Here is a 15646-nt window from a genome sequence, read left to right on the forward strand (position 1 = left end):
CCATTGTATGAACAGCCAGCCAATTGTTTCTCCTTTCCAGTGTCAGGCAATCAGACCGTTTCTGGTTTTGTGCTATTAAGAATAATTCTCATGTGAGCATTTCTGCACATGTCTCTAGGGCCTATACCTTGGGGTCAGACGTCTGTGGTAGGGTGTGTGTATGTTCAGCTTTACTAGGAGATACTAAAACATTTTCTAAACTCGTCTTAGCACTTCACCCTCCCACTAGCACTGCATGAATGCCTATTGCTCTCAGCCTTAGTAACACAGGTTCTTATCTGTCACGCATTTCCCAATATGATGGGTGTGAAGTGGAACCTCTCTTTGCTTTCAATTTTCATTTCTCCCATTTTTAATGAGGCTGAACATGTTTTTGCGTGTGTGAGGGGCCATTCATGTTCTCTCCTCCATTTTTTTCCTCTCTTTTATAGCAGGGTTGGTGGTCTTTTTTTTTGTAAAGAGCCAGATAGTATCTTTGGCTTTGTGGGCCATGCAGTCTCTGTCACAACTATTCAGTTCTGCCACTGTAGCTCTAAAGCAGAAGCAGGCAACATGTACATGAATGAGCATGGTGACTGTGTTCCAATAAAACTTTATTTACAAAAACAGGTAGTGGGCTGGATTGGCCAACTTCTGATGAATAGCATTTCTTTATAAATTCTGAACATGAGTACTTTAAAAAAATGTAGCAAATATCTTCTACTATTATGTGGTTCATCTTTTCCACCTAGTGTATCATATTTTTGATGAACAGAATTTCCTGTTTTGATTTTTTTAAAATAGTAAACAAGATTTGCTGATCCTTAATACCTGCCTGGGTTTATTTCCCATCTTGTCTTCAATATGATCTAGGCTTTCTGGAAGTTGAATGGGGGAGCGTCTAACAAATAGCTACCTAATACCTAGACAGATGACATCATCTCCGTGTGCAGGTAGGACATTAGATGGTTTCTCTAGGGAAACACAGAGAAAAGTATTGAGAGCAAGGAGTGCTGTTCTGTGAGGCCGCTGCTTACCCTATGTCTGAGCAGTGCTGCCTACCAACACCAAAGACCCTCAAGGTCCCCAGGGAAGGAGTATTTCTCCCACATAGACACTGGGAGTACTTACCAGGTTTGATGGGCTGCCTGTTCGAGAAGGTCAGAGGCGCAACGAGGAATTTGGTCTCTGCAACTGGCACCCAGTGGTGGAGAATTTTCACTGTCCAGACCCCAGGCCTCAGGGGCAAGTTCAAAGGGGGCTTGTAGTGTGTGAATTCGGCAGTGGACTCAATGAGGATGTCGTAGGTGGCTGCGATGACATTGACGGGATCCACCCAAATGACGGTCACGGTCACATTAGGTCCCTTCCCCCACTTCTGCATACCCACCGGCTCATCCATGGGCCCCAGAAGACCCCCAAAGTTGCGGAATAGCCTCTCCTTGGCATCCCAGTCAGTGCCGACCTGAAACAGGGGAGTGAATTCTGAAGTCACTGGGCCTGAACTAGGGGGCTAGGTCTCAGAAAGGTCTAGGATCCCCTTTGTTAGCTTTCATATACCCATTTTACAGATGAAGAAACTGAGGCTCCAACTAAGTCACCTGCTCAAGGTTGCACAGCTTGTAAGCAGAAGATCTGGCATCTGGACTCAGTCTGAAGGATCAAAAGGCCTGTGGTCCTTTTATTAAACCACCGGGCCTCCTGTGCCTGGTGTATGGCATGTGCTTTGAAAAGAAAACCACACATGAGCTGAATGAGTGAATGAATGAACGAATGAATGAATGAATGAATGCATGTCTTGCTTGCAGGCCATTCCACAGAAACATACACCCTGCCACTCAACAGGTACAGCGGGTTTCCAATTCCATCCTTGGTTTTCTAAATCACACACCTCCACTTGGTGCAATGGTTCTGAACAAGAATAGAGATCATGTTTTTACAGCTGCTCTATCATAAGCTAGAGACCCTCAGCATTGCCTGTCATCTACAGGGGTTCAAATAGGTTTCCTAGGAAGAGACAGCTTTGGCTTTCCCAAGGCACCTAGATCTGGACTGTAAGCATGAGAGTCATCCTGCGATCCTTCCTTCCTGCCAGCCAGCTGGGGGTGTGTGCAGCTGTGACCCACAGCAATCCTCTCTGGTGGGCTTCCCTCCTTCCACTTGTGCCACCTGCAATTTCTTCTATATCCTGTAGTCAGAAAGGCCTTGTAAAATGTCCTCTTACTGCTGCCCCCAGGCTTCTTAGTGCACTCAGAGTCTGAGCTCACCCCATCCTCCATCTCCATGACCCCCTCCCCATCTTTCTCCAGGATGCCTTGTTTTAGCCACCTCAATCAAGGCAGGCTCATTCCCAGCTCAGCTTTCCTGCACCATCTGCCCTGTGTGGAATACTCCTTTCTTGCACAGCCAGCCCCTTATGTCTAAAGCTGCCTCACAGAGTCTTTATCTGACCACCCCCCACCCCAAATTTCAAATGGACCTTCAGTCAATCTGTGTCATTCCCTACTGCTTTATTTTCTTCCTATCAGTGGTGATAAGCACTATCTCAGAGTTGTCTGTTGATGTATTTATTCTTTATCTCCTCCAGCTGTAATATAAGCTCTGTGTGAACAGGGGTTTTACCTGGCTGGTTCCCTGCTCTTTCTTGGTGCCTACTACCATGCTTAGTACACAGCAGGTGCTCGAGTAATGTTTGTTGAATGAATGGGTGAATGGCTTGACCAAAAACTGAATGAACTAGGGAGATTCCTGACAAGGACCTTTGTTGCTATTTCAAATCAAATTAAATTAGGGGTCATCTAATTTGAAAAAAAGATCTCCCCCAGGTGGATTAACTTAGTGGTTTTGAGGACACAGCATGTGGGCATGTTGGGGCAAATAACGGGTACAGTATGAAGCTTGCACTGCCTCTGCTGTCTTCCCATAATTAGCATCTCTAATGTGTGTGTGCACGAAGGTCGGGTGTGGATACACATACCCACATTCTGAGATTTCCTATGTGCAGGGGAAATAGGAGCTGATCTAGCTTCTCATTGTTCTTGCAAGAGGTACTATGTCAGTCCATTCTTTACCCAGCTTACAGAGCTTCACTGCTAATATTTGCTGAGGGATTACAGTGTGCCAGGCAGACGTGTCCATTCAGTTGATACTCCCAAATCCATAAAGGGGAGACCCTTGTCATTATCTTTACTTTACAGATGTGGAAACTGAGTCTCAGAGAAGTGAGATAACTCGCTATGGTCAGAGGGGGCAGAGCCAGCATGGGAACCCATAAAGTCCAGCCCCAGAGGCTGCATTCTCATCCACTGTGCTACATATTGCCTTCCATTCATGAATTCATTCACTCTCTCAGTCATTCATTCACCCAACACACATAAACCAAATCCCTACTGCCTACCAGGGGTGGCTGCCATCTGTGTACACTCACTGGCATGTGTCTTGCTTTCAGTTTTCATCAGGCCAGAGACTAAAGATTAGGACTAAGAAAGCATCCTGAGAGTAACAGAGGTAGTTACTGCTCTGATGTTCCTGTGGGGGCTGCCATCCCTCCCAGACTTATGAAATCTTGGTATTTTTCTACTACCCTGTGGATCAGCAGGGACCAGCACCTTCTGGGACCCTCCAGTGCCTAGCATAGTGCCCGGAACACAGTAGGAATTAAAAGGATACTATTTATTGAAGGAATAAATGAATGATCAACAGGATTCAGTTCAAGCTTCAAGGTCTTAGAGGTTTTTCTAAAGAAACCCGATTTCTATTTTCCTGCTTACAACCCCTTTCAGCAACTCTTGGTTTCTAAGTCCAGTTGCTTTACCTGTCCTGGAGACCTTTCTGGTCTGGCTCCGGCTTCACTTCTGTCATCTCTATCCCTCTCCCTCCCTTCCACTTGCTCCTTGCTCCAGGCCACCCTGGGTTATTCCCAGCACCTCATCCGGAAGGGCTCTGTGTTTCCTCTTGATCTTCTGGCCATGATCCGCCTGTTCTCTGGACCGGTCTACCTTTCCCCGCATCCTCCAGGCCACCTCAAACTTGTAATCTAGATTTTGGCTCAGGCATCACCTCTACTCATAAGTCTTTCCTGGATAGAGGCACCACTGAGGTACATATCTAAGCATTTGATCATCATAGCTTTTCTCCTGACCCCCACAGTACTGCATCTTTTAATTTACAGGTCTCTCTCTCTCCAGATCTAGACCGTCAACTCCAAGAGGGCAGGGACTATATATGGCATGCTCACCAATATGTCTCTAGTGTCTGAAACAGTGCTGAACATAGAGTAGGTGCTCAATATATCTCTATAGAGATCTAAAAATAAAGATATATTGAGCACCTATTGTCTATTGATCGATCAATGATCTATACAGATTGATCATCTACTTATGTGTGTTTATCATCTATCTCTACCAATCTGTCACATTAATCTGTCAACTCTATTGTAACCATTAATCATCTATCCATCTGTTTGCCTATTAACGTATCCACCCATCTGTCTGTCTGTTAATCAATCTATGTATCACCTGTCTATCAATCTATCTTGAACACATATTGAATGAGTAGGGGCTGAACACATGGACTTCCCTCCATGCACTAGTTTCCAACAGATACTAACAAAACAGATGAATGGCCACAAAACTACTTTAGGGTCATATTTAAGGAGGTGATTTTTCACCAGTTAGGGGAAGATGGGAACCCTCCAGAACACTGCCCTTGGATCCTCCAAAGAAATGAGGATAAACACTTCCCTGAAATCGAGTTTTAAAACCAAGATAACCTGGGCAGGAGAGTTCTGGAGCAGCTGACAAACAACCTGGATCTTGTTTTTCAACCGAGGAGCGTGAAGGGTGAGGTGTGGGGCAGCCTGAGCTAGGGCCCTGCTGCTGTCACATCCTCCAAGACCTTCTCAAGGGGCCTCATTGTGGAAGTCCACCACCATCCACTGCAGAATGGTCAATTACCCAAATTCAAATACATATTCAAATTCAAGCTTAACATACTGCTCCCTGGCTTCCAACCAACCAATGGCTTTCCATTGCGTTTATTTATTTATTTTTTGAGTTTATAATGTGTATGTATATGTATATATTTCAATAGGTTTTTGGGGAACAGGTGGTGTTTGCTTACATGAATAAGTTCTTTAGTGGTGACTTCTGAGATTTTGGTGCACCCATCACTTGAACAGTATACACTGCACCCCATGTGTAGTCTTTTATCCCCTATATCCCCTCCCCTATATCCCCCAACCCTTGCCCATGAGTCCCCAAACTCACTGTATCATTCTTAAGCCTTGATTTCCTCATAGCTTAGCTCCCTCTTATGAGTGAGAACATACAACGTTTGCTTTTCCATTCCTGAATTACTTCATTTAGAATAATGGTCTCCAATTCCATCCAGGTTGCTGCAAATACCATTGTTTCGTTCCTTTTTATGGCTGAGTAGTATTCCATGGGGTATATATATATATATGCGCACACACACACACACACAATTTATTCACTGATTGATGGGCTGCTTCCATTTTTTTTGCAATTGTGAATTGTGCTGCTATAAACATGCGTGTGCAAGAATCTTTTTTGTATAATGACTTACTTTTCTCTGGTAGATAGCCCACAGTGGAATTGCTGGATCAAATGGTAGAACTACTTGTAGTTCTTTAAGGAATCTCCACATTGTTTTCCATAGTGGTTGTCCTAGTTTACAGTCCCACCAACAGCATAAAAGCGTTCCCTTTTCACCACATCCATGCCAACATCTGTTATTTTTTGGTTATGGCCATTCTTGCAGGAGTAAGGTGGTATTGCATTGTGGTTTTGATTTGCATTTTCCTGATCGTTAGTGATGTTGAGCATTTTTTCATATGTTCGTTGGCCATTTGTATATCTTCTTTTGAGAACGGTCTATTCATGGCCTTAGCCCACTTTTTGATGGGATTGTTTTTTCTTGCTGATTTGAGTTCCTTGTAGATTCTAGATATTAGTCCTTTGTTGGATCTACAGATTGCAAAGATTTTCTCCCACTCTCTGGGTTGTCTGTTTACTCTGCTGATTATTTCTTTTGCCTTGCAGAAACTTTTAAAATTAAGTCCTATCTACTTATCTTTGTTTTTGTTGCATTTGCTTTTGGGTTCTTGGTCATTAAGTCTTTGCCTAAGCCAGTGTCTAGAAGGGTTTTTCCAATTTTATCTTCTAGAATTTGTATGGTTTCATGTCTTAGATTTAAGTCTTTGATCCATCCTCAGTTGATTATTGTATAAGGTGAGAGATGAGGATTCGGTTCCATTCTTCTACACGTGGCTTGCCAATTATTTCTGCACCATTTGTTGAATAGGGTGTTCTTTTCCCACTTTGTTTTTGTGTGCCGTGTTGAAGATCAGTAAGTATTTGGCTTTATTTCTGGGTTCTCTATTCTGTTCCACTGTTCTATATGCCTTTTTTTATACCAGTACCATGCTGTTCTGGTGACTATGGCCTTATAGTATGCTTTAAGGTTGGGTAATGCAATGCCTCCAGATTTGTTCTTTTTGCTTAGTCTTGTTTTGGCTATGCAGGCTCTTTTTTAGTTCCATATGAATTTTAGGATTGCTTTTTCTAGTTCTGTGAAGAATGATGGTGGTATTCTGATGGGAATTGCATTGAATTTGTAGATTGCTTTTGGCAGTATGGTCATGGTCACAATATTGATTCTACCCATCCATGAGCATGACATTTGCTTGTGTCATCTATGACTTCTTGCAGCAGTGTTTTGCAGTTTTCCTTGTAGAGGTCTTTCACCTCTCCTTGGTGGGTTTGGGTTTGTTCTTGTTTCTCTAGCTCATTAAGGTGTGACCTTAGATTGTCTATTTGGGCTCTTTCAGACTTTTTGATGTGGGCATTTAATGCTATGAACTTTGCACTTAGCACTGGCTTTGCTGTATCCCAGAAGTGTTGAATTCAGGAGCAAGTTATTTAGTTTCCATGTATTTGCATGAATTTGGGGGTTCCTTTTGGAGTTAATTTCCAATTTTATTCCACTGTGGTCTGAGAGAGTATGTGCTGTAATTTTGATTTTCTTAAAATTGTTGAGACTTGTTTTGTGGCCTATCATATGGTCTATCTTGGAGAATGTTCCATGTGCTGATGAACAGCATGTATATTCTGCAGTCGTTGGGTAAAATGTTCTGTAAGTACCTGTTAAGTCCATTTGTTGTAGGGTATAGCATAAGTCCATTGTTTCTTTATTGACTTTCTGTCTTGATGAACTGTGCCAATATTACTGTGTTGCTGTCCATCTCATTTCTTAGGTCTAGTAGTATTGTTTTGGGAGCCCCAGTGTTAGTGCATGTATATTTAGATTGTGGTGTTTTCCTGTTGGACTAGTCCTTTTATCATTATATAATGTCCCTCTTTGTCTTTTTTAATTGCTGTTGCTTTAAAGTTTTGTTTTGTCTGGTAAGAATTGCTACTCCTGCTCACTTTTGGTGTCCATTTGCATGGAGTATCTTTTTTCACCTTTTTACCTTAAGTTCATGTGAGTCCTCAGGTGCCAGGCAAGTCTCTTGAAGACAGCAGACACTTGGTTGGTGAATTCTTATCCGTTCTGTATCTTTTAAGTGAAGCTTTTAGGCCATTTACATTCAACATTAGTATTGAGATGTGAGGTACTATTCTATTCATCATACTATTTGTTGCCTGAATACCTTGGTTTGTTTCATTGTGTTGTTTTGCAGGACCTGTGAGATTTATGCTTTAAAGAGATTCTATTTTGGTTTATTTTGAGGATTTGTTTCAAGATTTACAGCTCCTTTTAGCAGTTCTTGTAGTGCTGGCTTGGTAGTGGTGAATTATCTTAGCATTTTTCTGAAAAAACTGTATCTTTCATTTATGAAGCTTAGTTTCACTGGATACACGATGCGTGGCTGGTAACTGTTTTGTTTAAGGAGGCTAAAGACAGGACCCTTCTGGCTTGTAGTGTTTCTGCTGTGAGAAATCTGCTGTTAATCTGATGGGTTTTCCTTTATAGGTTACCTGATGCTTTTGCCTCTTAAGGTTATTTCCTTTGTCTTGACTTTAGATAACTTGATGACTATGTGCCTAGGCATGATCTTTTTGCAATGAATTTCCCAGGTGTTCTTTGAACTTCTTGTATTTAGATGTCTAGATCTCTAGCAAGGCTGGGGAAGTTTTCCTCAATTATTCCATTATTCAAACTTTTAGATTTCTCTTCTTCCTCAGGAACGCCAATTATTCTTAAGTTTGGTTGTTTAACATACTCCCAAACTTCGTGAAGGCTTTGTTCATTTTTTAAAAATTCTTTTTTGTGTTTGTTGGAGTGAGTTAATTTGAAAGCCTTGTCTTCAAGTTCTGAAGTTCTTTCTTTTACTCGTTTGATTCGATTGCTGAGACTTTCCAGTGCATTTTGCAATTTTGTAAGTGTGTCCTTCATTTTCAGAAGTTGTGATTGTGTTCTATTTAGGCTATATTTCACTGGAGATTTTTCCATTCGTATCCTATATCTTTTTTTTTAAGTTGGACTTCACCTTTCTCTGGTGCCTCCTTAATTGGCTTAATAGTCGAACTTCTTAATTGTTTTTCTGGTAATTCAGAGATTTCTTCTTGATTTGAATCCATTGCTGGTGAGCTAGTGTGATCTTTTGGGGATGTTAAAGCAAGCCAATTCACAATTCCTTGGCTGTCCCACAGTGCCTGCAGGGGCAATCCACCTCCTTCAAAGGCTCTATGGATTCTCTTGGCTTTCCTGGCATGTTTCTGCAGTAGTTCTTGGAGCAAAAGTTCATGATGTGGGGCTCCATACACTGCTCTGTCCATCCGAGTGGAAGCTGCAAGTTTGTCTTGCCTCCTATCCGCCATTTTCCCTCTATCTTTCCATTGCATTTAAAATGCAACCTGAACATCTTTCCCGGGCCTGCAAGACTACTCCCTGAGGCCTCTTTCCTACCAGTTTCCTTCTCACTTGCTGCACCCAGTACATTGGTCTCCCTGCAACTCGAGTACTCCTAGCTCATTCCCAGTGCCTAAGGGCCTTTGTATATGCTCTTCTCTCTGCTTGGAATGCTCCAGATCTCCCGAGGACTGGCTCTTTTACAGGCTTTAGCTTTGCAGTGATCTCCTTAGAAAAGCCTTCCTAGATGAATCAATCATTCTATTGAAGGTTGTCCCCATCAATGTCCTGAGTCCCCAGCAATCACATGAATGAAGTTTTCTCTAGAATACCTGTCATTAGCTGAGCTGTTTGTTTTTGTTTATCTATTTGCTCACTCACTGGCTGGCTGTCTCATTGGAATGCAATTCCATGACCACAGGGGCCTGGTTTGTTTGGTTCACCACAATCCCTCCTGAACCTGGCACACTGTAGGCACTTGGTGACTACCTGCAGAAAGAATGAGCATCTTTTATTTCCAAGTCAACAGCATGAGATTCCCATGTATTGGAGAAATGTATCTGAGCTGTTCAGCCACCTGCTGTGAGCCAGGCACTGTACAAGGCCCTGGGATAGTGCTAACACCAAGGAGATCCTAAATAGCCCACAGAGTGGTCCTGTAGTTCTTCCTTGCCTTTCTGTTCATTTGCTACTAAAATTAAGAGTTTAGAAAAAATTCAAAATACAAGTTAGGGCTCTCTGCATCACATGCTGTTATTTTTGCCAGTGATTTTGATGGTTCTCACTCCAAGGGTACCAGACCTGTGTAGTGAGGACCATCCCCCAAAAGCACTAGCCATGGAGCGGCCAACATCATTTGTCACTGCCAGAAGTACCCAGTCACCCAACAGCAGGCTGATAAACAGGGAGAGCCCAGACACCAGGCATTCATCTCTTTAATGGGACATTAATGTTGTCAATTGGCTGCTCAGGCCCCTAGCACAGAATCGAACTGGGGCAGTATCTAATTGCCCCCTGATGCCAGTAATTTATGGAATGGGCTCCCTTGGCTGCTCACATCCAGCAAATCCACTGGGAGTCTTAATTGAAAACAGTGGCTTAACAAGAAACTCTCACTGGTGCCTGTTTGTCATGGGGATACATACATTCGTTAGGCAGGGCCACAGAAGCTAGAGAAGGACTGTCAAGGAAAATATAAGAGGGTGGGACTCCCCCTCTCCCCAACATACTCTTAGCCCCTCAAGATGTACCATAGTCTACAATCAGACTCTTGGTCCCTAATCCAGCAGTCAGAACCATTGTGACAAATCACGTCCTTAGCACTTAGGGATGTGAGGAAGGCAGAAACCAGGTGCTGCAGTTTTGTGTGAATAACACGCACCAGGCTTGATCATGCTTCCCCTTCCTTCCTGCACCACGACCCAAGTACACTCATTCATTCATTCAAAAGTCTTACTCAGCATCTACAAAGACTACATACTGTCTGTGTGCTGGGGATACCACAGTGAAGAGGGAGACACAGTTCCAGCTCTCTTGTGAACAATCAATGAGTGACCAGATAAAGCAACAAGATAATTTTAGATAGTAAATGCTAAGAAAAAGTATTAAAATAGGGAAGGGTTGGATGGAGAATGTAGCTATTGCAGCAGCTTAAGTGGGTGCCGGGGAAGGTTTCTCTGAAGGTGTATCATTTGGATTTAGATCAGAATGATCAAAAACAAAGCTAGCTATGTGACCCATCTGTCCATCCATCCTTCCTTCAATCCATCATTCATCTACTCATCTAATCATATATTCAGTGATTGATCTGGTACTTCCCTTGAGCGAATCCAGGTGTGCTAAAAACTGTGGAGACAAAACCACAACTAAGCATAGGATTTGTGGCCAAAGAGACCTAGGTTGAATTTTGAGCTCTCCCACTTCCTAGCAATCCAGAAAATCTTTGGATCTCTATAAGCCTCAGTTCTCCATTCGGTAAAATGGGACTAATATTACTGACATTGGTTTAGGAGTCATCACTGGAAAAATTCAGAGGAGCAGAAATTCTACCCTAAAAAATACAACTGTGTTCCAGTTGGTTTGATCCTCCCCTGTTTAAGATGCTGGTGCCAGTGACTGGGGCCGGAGAACCTTCTTCGGGCACAGGGTTAGCTTATCTTTAGGGATCTCCAAGTCCTCTTCTCCTCCATCTCCAACTAGAAGTGTCAGATAGTGGAGTAGAATCTGGCCGAGGGAAATGCAAAATACAATGAAATGTGACAAGACCTGGCCTCTTACCTCGGAAAACTGAAGCCTCCCAAAGTCACTGGGTGGGCTTGCGATCTTGAAGACTTTTTTCGGCATCACCCAGGTCTCCAGAGTCTCTAGTTTGCTCACAGCCAGATTGGTAGCATGATGCTTGATCAGAAAGCCCTGGAAGCGGTCAGCAAGGAAGTAGAGGTGCACAGATGCTGGGTGGCCCATTGGGTAGTATCTGAAAACACAGGCGCTCATGCATTAGGGCCCAAGGTGTGTAGGATCACAGTGAGGCTCCCCACCCACCAAGCTAGTTTTGTTCCTAAAGCAGTCCCCATTGTGCACAATGCCTACTGTTTTCCTTGCGTCCTCTGTATCTATGATCTCAATGACTATGAATACTTTTTTCTTCTGCTGATTATGAATGAAAAACATGCTGACTGTAGGAAAGTACAACAAAGAAAGTGAAATGACTACTTTCCATGCCTCTTCCCATACATAATGTCCATTCACAGATATTGAGTCCTCTGGTGCTTGGTACCGGGCAGTGAAAATGGTGTGTGAACACTCATATTGATGGATTTCCCTTCGGCCTTATTTCCTATGCATCTATTTGCATAAATACTATTTGCATAAATACTACATAGTTGGCATCTATCTATCCTAGCTATTATTCTGTCTTCATTGTATAGTATTTCCTGAGGATTATCACATCTTTGAAAAGTCTCTGAAGACACGATTTTGTATGTGTTGATGCTCGGTGTGTTTCATCATAGTTAATACCAGATTTGATAGAGCAAGTTCTCTAGCATTGGATGATAACTCTAATTTTTTGCTTCTCTAAACAATGCTGCATTCAACATCTTTGAGCAAAACCTTTCATTCGTCTCTCTCTCTGTTTAAATGTCTGAGGCTCTTCGTGTCTGCAGCTTAACTGTTTCAGAAGTACTGATTTATTCTCTCACAGTCCTTACCACTTACACTGGTTATCATCTTTAACCATGATTGCCAATCTGAGATAAACACACATGCACATACATGCAAAAGTGGTTTGTTGTTTTAAAATGCACGTCTTTGATCCACAAAAACTTGCTGGCTGAAAAGGGCAGGGAAGTGAAGCAGAGATGTCCGGAGAAAAGGGGGAAGCAGATGGCAAAAAAGGAGTACCTCGGAGGAGACCAGTTTGGTATATTTCCTACTTGTCAGATAAATAGCTGCCGCTTCTGCAATGTGTAAATTGCACAGCTTTATAAGGCGCTTGTGGGTCCTTCATAATAGCATTTCACAAATCATTGTCCCTGCTCAGCTAAACGCAGCCTTCCCTCTGGTCCTGATCTGGAGTTTTAAGTCTTTATGTCCAATTATAACAGTTAGGGAAGCTGCCTTCCTGTGTTCACACATCTCCTGAAATCATTGCCTTGTTACTGGGATGCCTTCCAGGGAGCATAGAAAAAAAAAAAAAAAAAAAAAAAAACTTGAACAGTCTTCAGATGGTTTGTTGGGCATTCACCGTTCATGCAAACCTGTTTTAAATCTGGACTTTGGGAGTGGAAAGTCCAGCGACTGTGCTGTCATTCTACCACTGCAGCAACATCTAGGCAGGGCTATCACATAAAACCTCCTGCGATGACAGAAATATTTTATTTATTTATTTTTGAGGCAGAGTCTCACTCTGTTGCCCAGGCTGGAGTGCAGTGGCATGATCTTGGCTCACTGCAACCTCCGCCTCCTGGGTTCAAGCGATTCTCCTGACTCAGCCTCCTGAGTAGCTGGGATTACAGGCATCAGCCACCATGCCCGGCTAATTTTTGTATTTTTAGTAGAGACGGGGTTTCACCATGTTGGCCAGGCTGGTCTCAAACTCACTCCTGACCTCAAGTGATCCGCCCGCCTCGGCCTCCCAAAGTGCTGGGATTACAGGTGTCAGCCACTGCGCCAGGCCAAAAGCTTTTTATTTCCATAGGATTTTGGGGAACAGGTGGTGTTTGGTTGCATGAGTAAGTTCTTTAGTGATGATTTGTGAGACTTTGGGAAAGCTGTCTCCCAACCCACTAGCAAAGTGTGACTGTTCAGCCCTTGAAATATGGCCAATGTGACTGAGGAACTGAATTTTAAATTGTATTTAGTTTTAGTTAATTTACACTGAAGTAGCCACTTGTGGCTACCGTATTGGACAGCAAAGATAGTCATGAAAGAGCCAGTGGTCACCTGCATTAATGTCCCAAATCTCCCATCTCCTTTATCTTATGCTTTCTTCCATGTGACTTTGCAAGTTTCCTTGTACCCGGGAGGCAGAACCTATTTTTCTACCTCTGGAATCTTCTTTGGACAACAGAAAGTGGTAGAAGGGCTGTCACGTCAGTTCTGAGCCAGGGCCTCAAGATGCCTTGCACATTTCTGTTTGCTTTCTTGCTCTTTTGAGGTCACCATGAGAGCATGCCTGGGCTAGCTTGCTGGAGAAGGAGACATTTGAAACAGCAGAGCTACGCCAGTTGTCCCAGCTGAAGCCATCCTAGGCTCAGGCAACTATTCCCAGCCAAGGACCACAGAGCCACCTCCCGACTTGCAGTTGGCTGCAGATAGGGGAGCAAGGCCTGCCCATACTGGGAAAACTGTCCAGCTGATCTGCGAACTTGAGCATTACATGAATGCATATTGTTTCAAAACACTGATTTGGGAGTTGTTTGTTTCACAGTGTTATCGTGACAATAGACAAAGCACTGCCAGTGTGTGTTCTGTGAGGTGGGTAAAGCAGGAGAATTTGCTGTTACGGGAGTCAAAGGAAGAGAGTGTTTCCAGAAAGCAGCAGTCCAAAAAATTTAGAAGTCAATCTTTGATTACTTGCCTCCCTTCACCTTCTTTATATTTTTTGAGATGGAGTCTCTGTCACCCAGGCTAGAGTGCAGTGTCGTGAAACTGGCTCACTGCAACCTCTGCCTCCCGGGTTCAAGCAGTTCTCCCTGACTCAGCCTCCCGAGTAGCTGGGATTACAGGTGTCAGCCATCACACCTGGCCCCTTCCATCCTCTATTCTCCTTACACACTGCCAGAATCCCGGTCAAAGCCACCATCCTTTTATACCTGGGCCTCTGCAGGAGCTTCCTTAATTGTCACCCTCTCTTACTTTTGCCCACTATAACCTGTTCCCATAGTAGCCACGTCCATCGTCCCTCACTTAAATGCCACAAGCACTTTGCTTCATGCTTTCAGTAAAATCCAAACTCCTTACCTGGTCCACAAAGCCCTACCGCTTTCTCTAGCCCCCTTTTGTTTCCTGCTACCCTAATCCACCACTTCCTTCCTCATTGCTGCCTCTGACTTGTCACTCTCACATGACTTTATCTTCATTTTTTGCACAGCATTTACCCTTATTGATCTTATATTCTGGTTTACTTGTGCTTAGGTACTGTCTGTCTGCACACTAGAATGGGAGGGCTTTGAGTTCACAGGCCTGGTCCGCCTGGATCAAGGCTGAATTCTCCGTGCCTAACACACAGGCTGACACACGATAGCTACTCAATCAGTACTTATTGAAGGAGTGAAAATTCTAGAAGGATTTTCTCTTGAACCTCAAGTTACATCTACAGTCCCTGTAACCAAGGAGTGAGCACAAAAGCCCTCTGATGCCTCATCCTGACTGTATTTGGTATCTAAGTAATGAAAACTGTTAATGTCTCAAAACAGAAAAATAATCAAGATGCCGCACAACCAATCATCATCTACAGGAATGCAACCGAAGTATTCGTTTGGCCCAAAGCTGTTTTTCTTTCTTATTTAAATACGATGAGCACTAAAAAAAATTAGGAGATTTGGTTGGCAACTCCATCTGCATTCCCACGGAATGTACTGGGGTTCAGCTCCATGGACCTCCAGGTTCCCATGGTCAGCCCACCCTGCAGGGGGCACACTGAGTGATTCTAGTGCTTCGTGCCTGCCCCGGAGGGCATTTGGGGACCTGCAATAAAATGCTGACATCCTTATTTCTGGATGGTAGATTATATGCAAACTTTACTCTGATTCTCTCAACCTGCCATTTCAGAAACTTCTGCAATGCATATGTGTTAGTTTATAATGAGAAAAAAAAATCAATAAACATTATTTAATGAAAGGTTATATTATAGACTGGAAAGGCACAATTTGCCTAAAATACCCAGATAAAATGAGACTGTTAAAGTTTTCACTTGCTGTTTCCCCACATGCCCCGGGGCTAGGAATCCATTCTCTTCTGCCTTTTGGGATAAGGGTCTTTTGTCCTGATTTATTTTCAGGCTCCTATTCATAAATACATTGGCTTTGCCCACAGCAAGGCACCACAGTTCCATTACAATAAAAAACGAGGTGGATACCAGAGGATTCCTGGCTCGAGGCAACGTGACGGCTCACTTCATTCCAAAATGAATACTAGGGAGCAACCTTCAACAACCCTAGATAAATTGGGGGTGTCTTTTGGAATTTCCTGTAAGATCATTTACCTTATACATTCTAGGAAGCCTGCAACTGTAATTATTATGGAACGACATTTGCCTTCCAAGTGGCAGGCACTGCACTGTCTACTGGGG

The 15646-nt window shown here is 43.2% G+C and overlaps 1 protein-coding gene across 3 annotated transcripts in view; it reads right to left on the reverse strand.

The window, feature by feature from the left end:
* XYLT1 (xylosyltransferase 1) overlaps positions 1-15646 on the reverse strand; it is a 369192-nt gene that overhangs the window by 14767 nt on the left and 338779 nt on the right. For 2 of the 3 annotated variants that reach the window (XM_047434458.1, NM_022166.4), the window contains 2 exons: positions 11131-11326; positions 1111-1444 (listed from right to left, as the gene is read on the reverse strand). In XM_047434458.1, coding sequence (XP_047290414.1) covers positions 1111-1444; positions 11131-11326 — 530 coding nt within the window. Of the gene's footprint in view, positions 1-576; positions 954-1110; positions 1445-11130; positions 11327-15646 lie in introns of those variants that run through there. The other variant, XM_017023539.3, reaches the window with a different exon arrangement.

The sequence above is a fragment of the Homo sapiens genome, chromosome 16, assembly GCF_000001405.40.
Source record: "Homo sapiens chromosome 16, GRCh38.p14 Primary Assembly".
In the NCBI taxonomy this organism is placed as follows: Eukaryota; Metazoa; Chordata; class Mammalia; order Primates; family Hominidae; genus Homo; species Homo sapiens.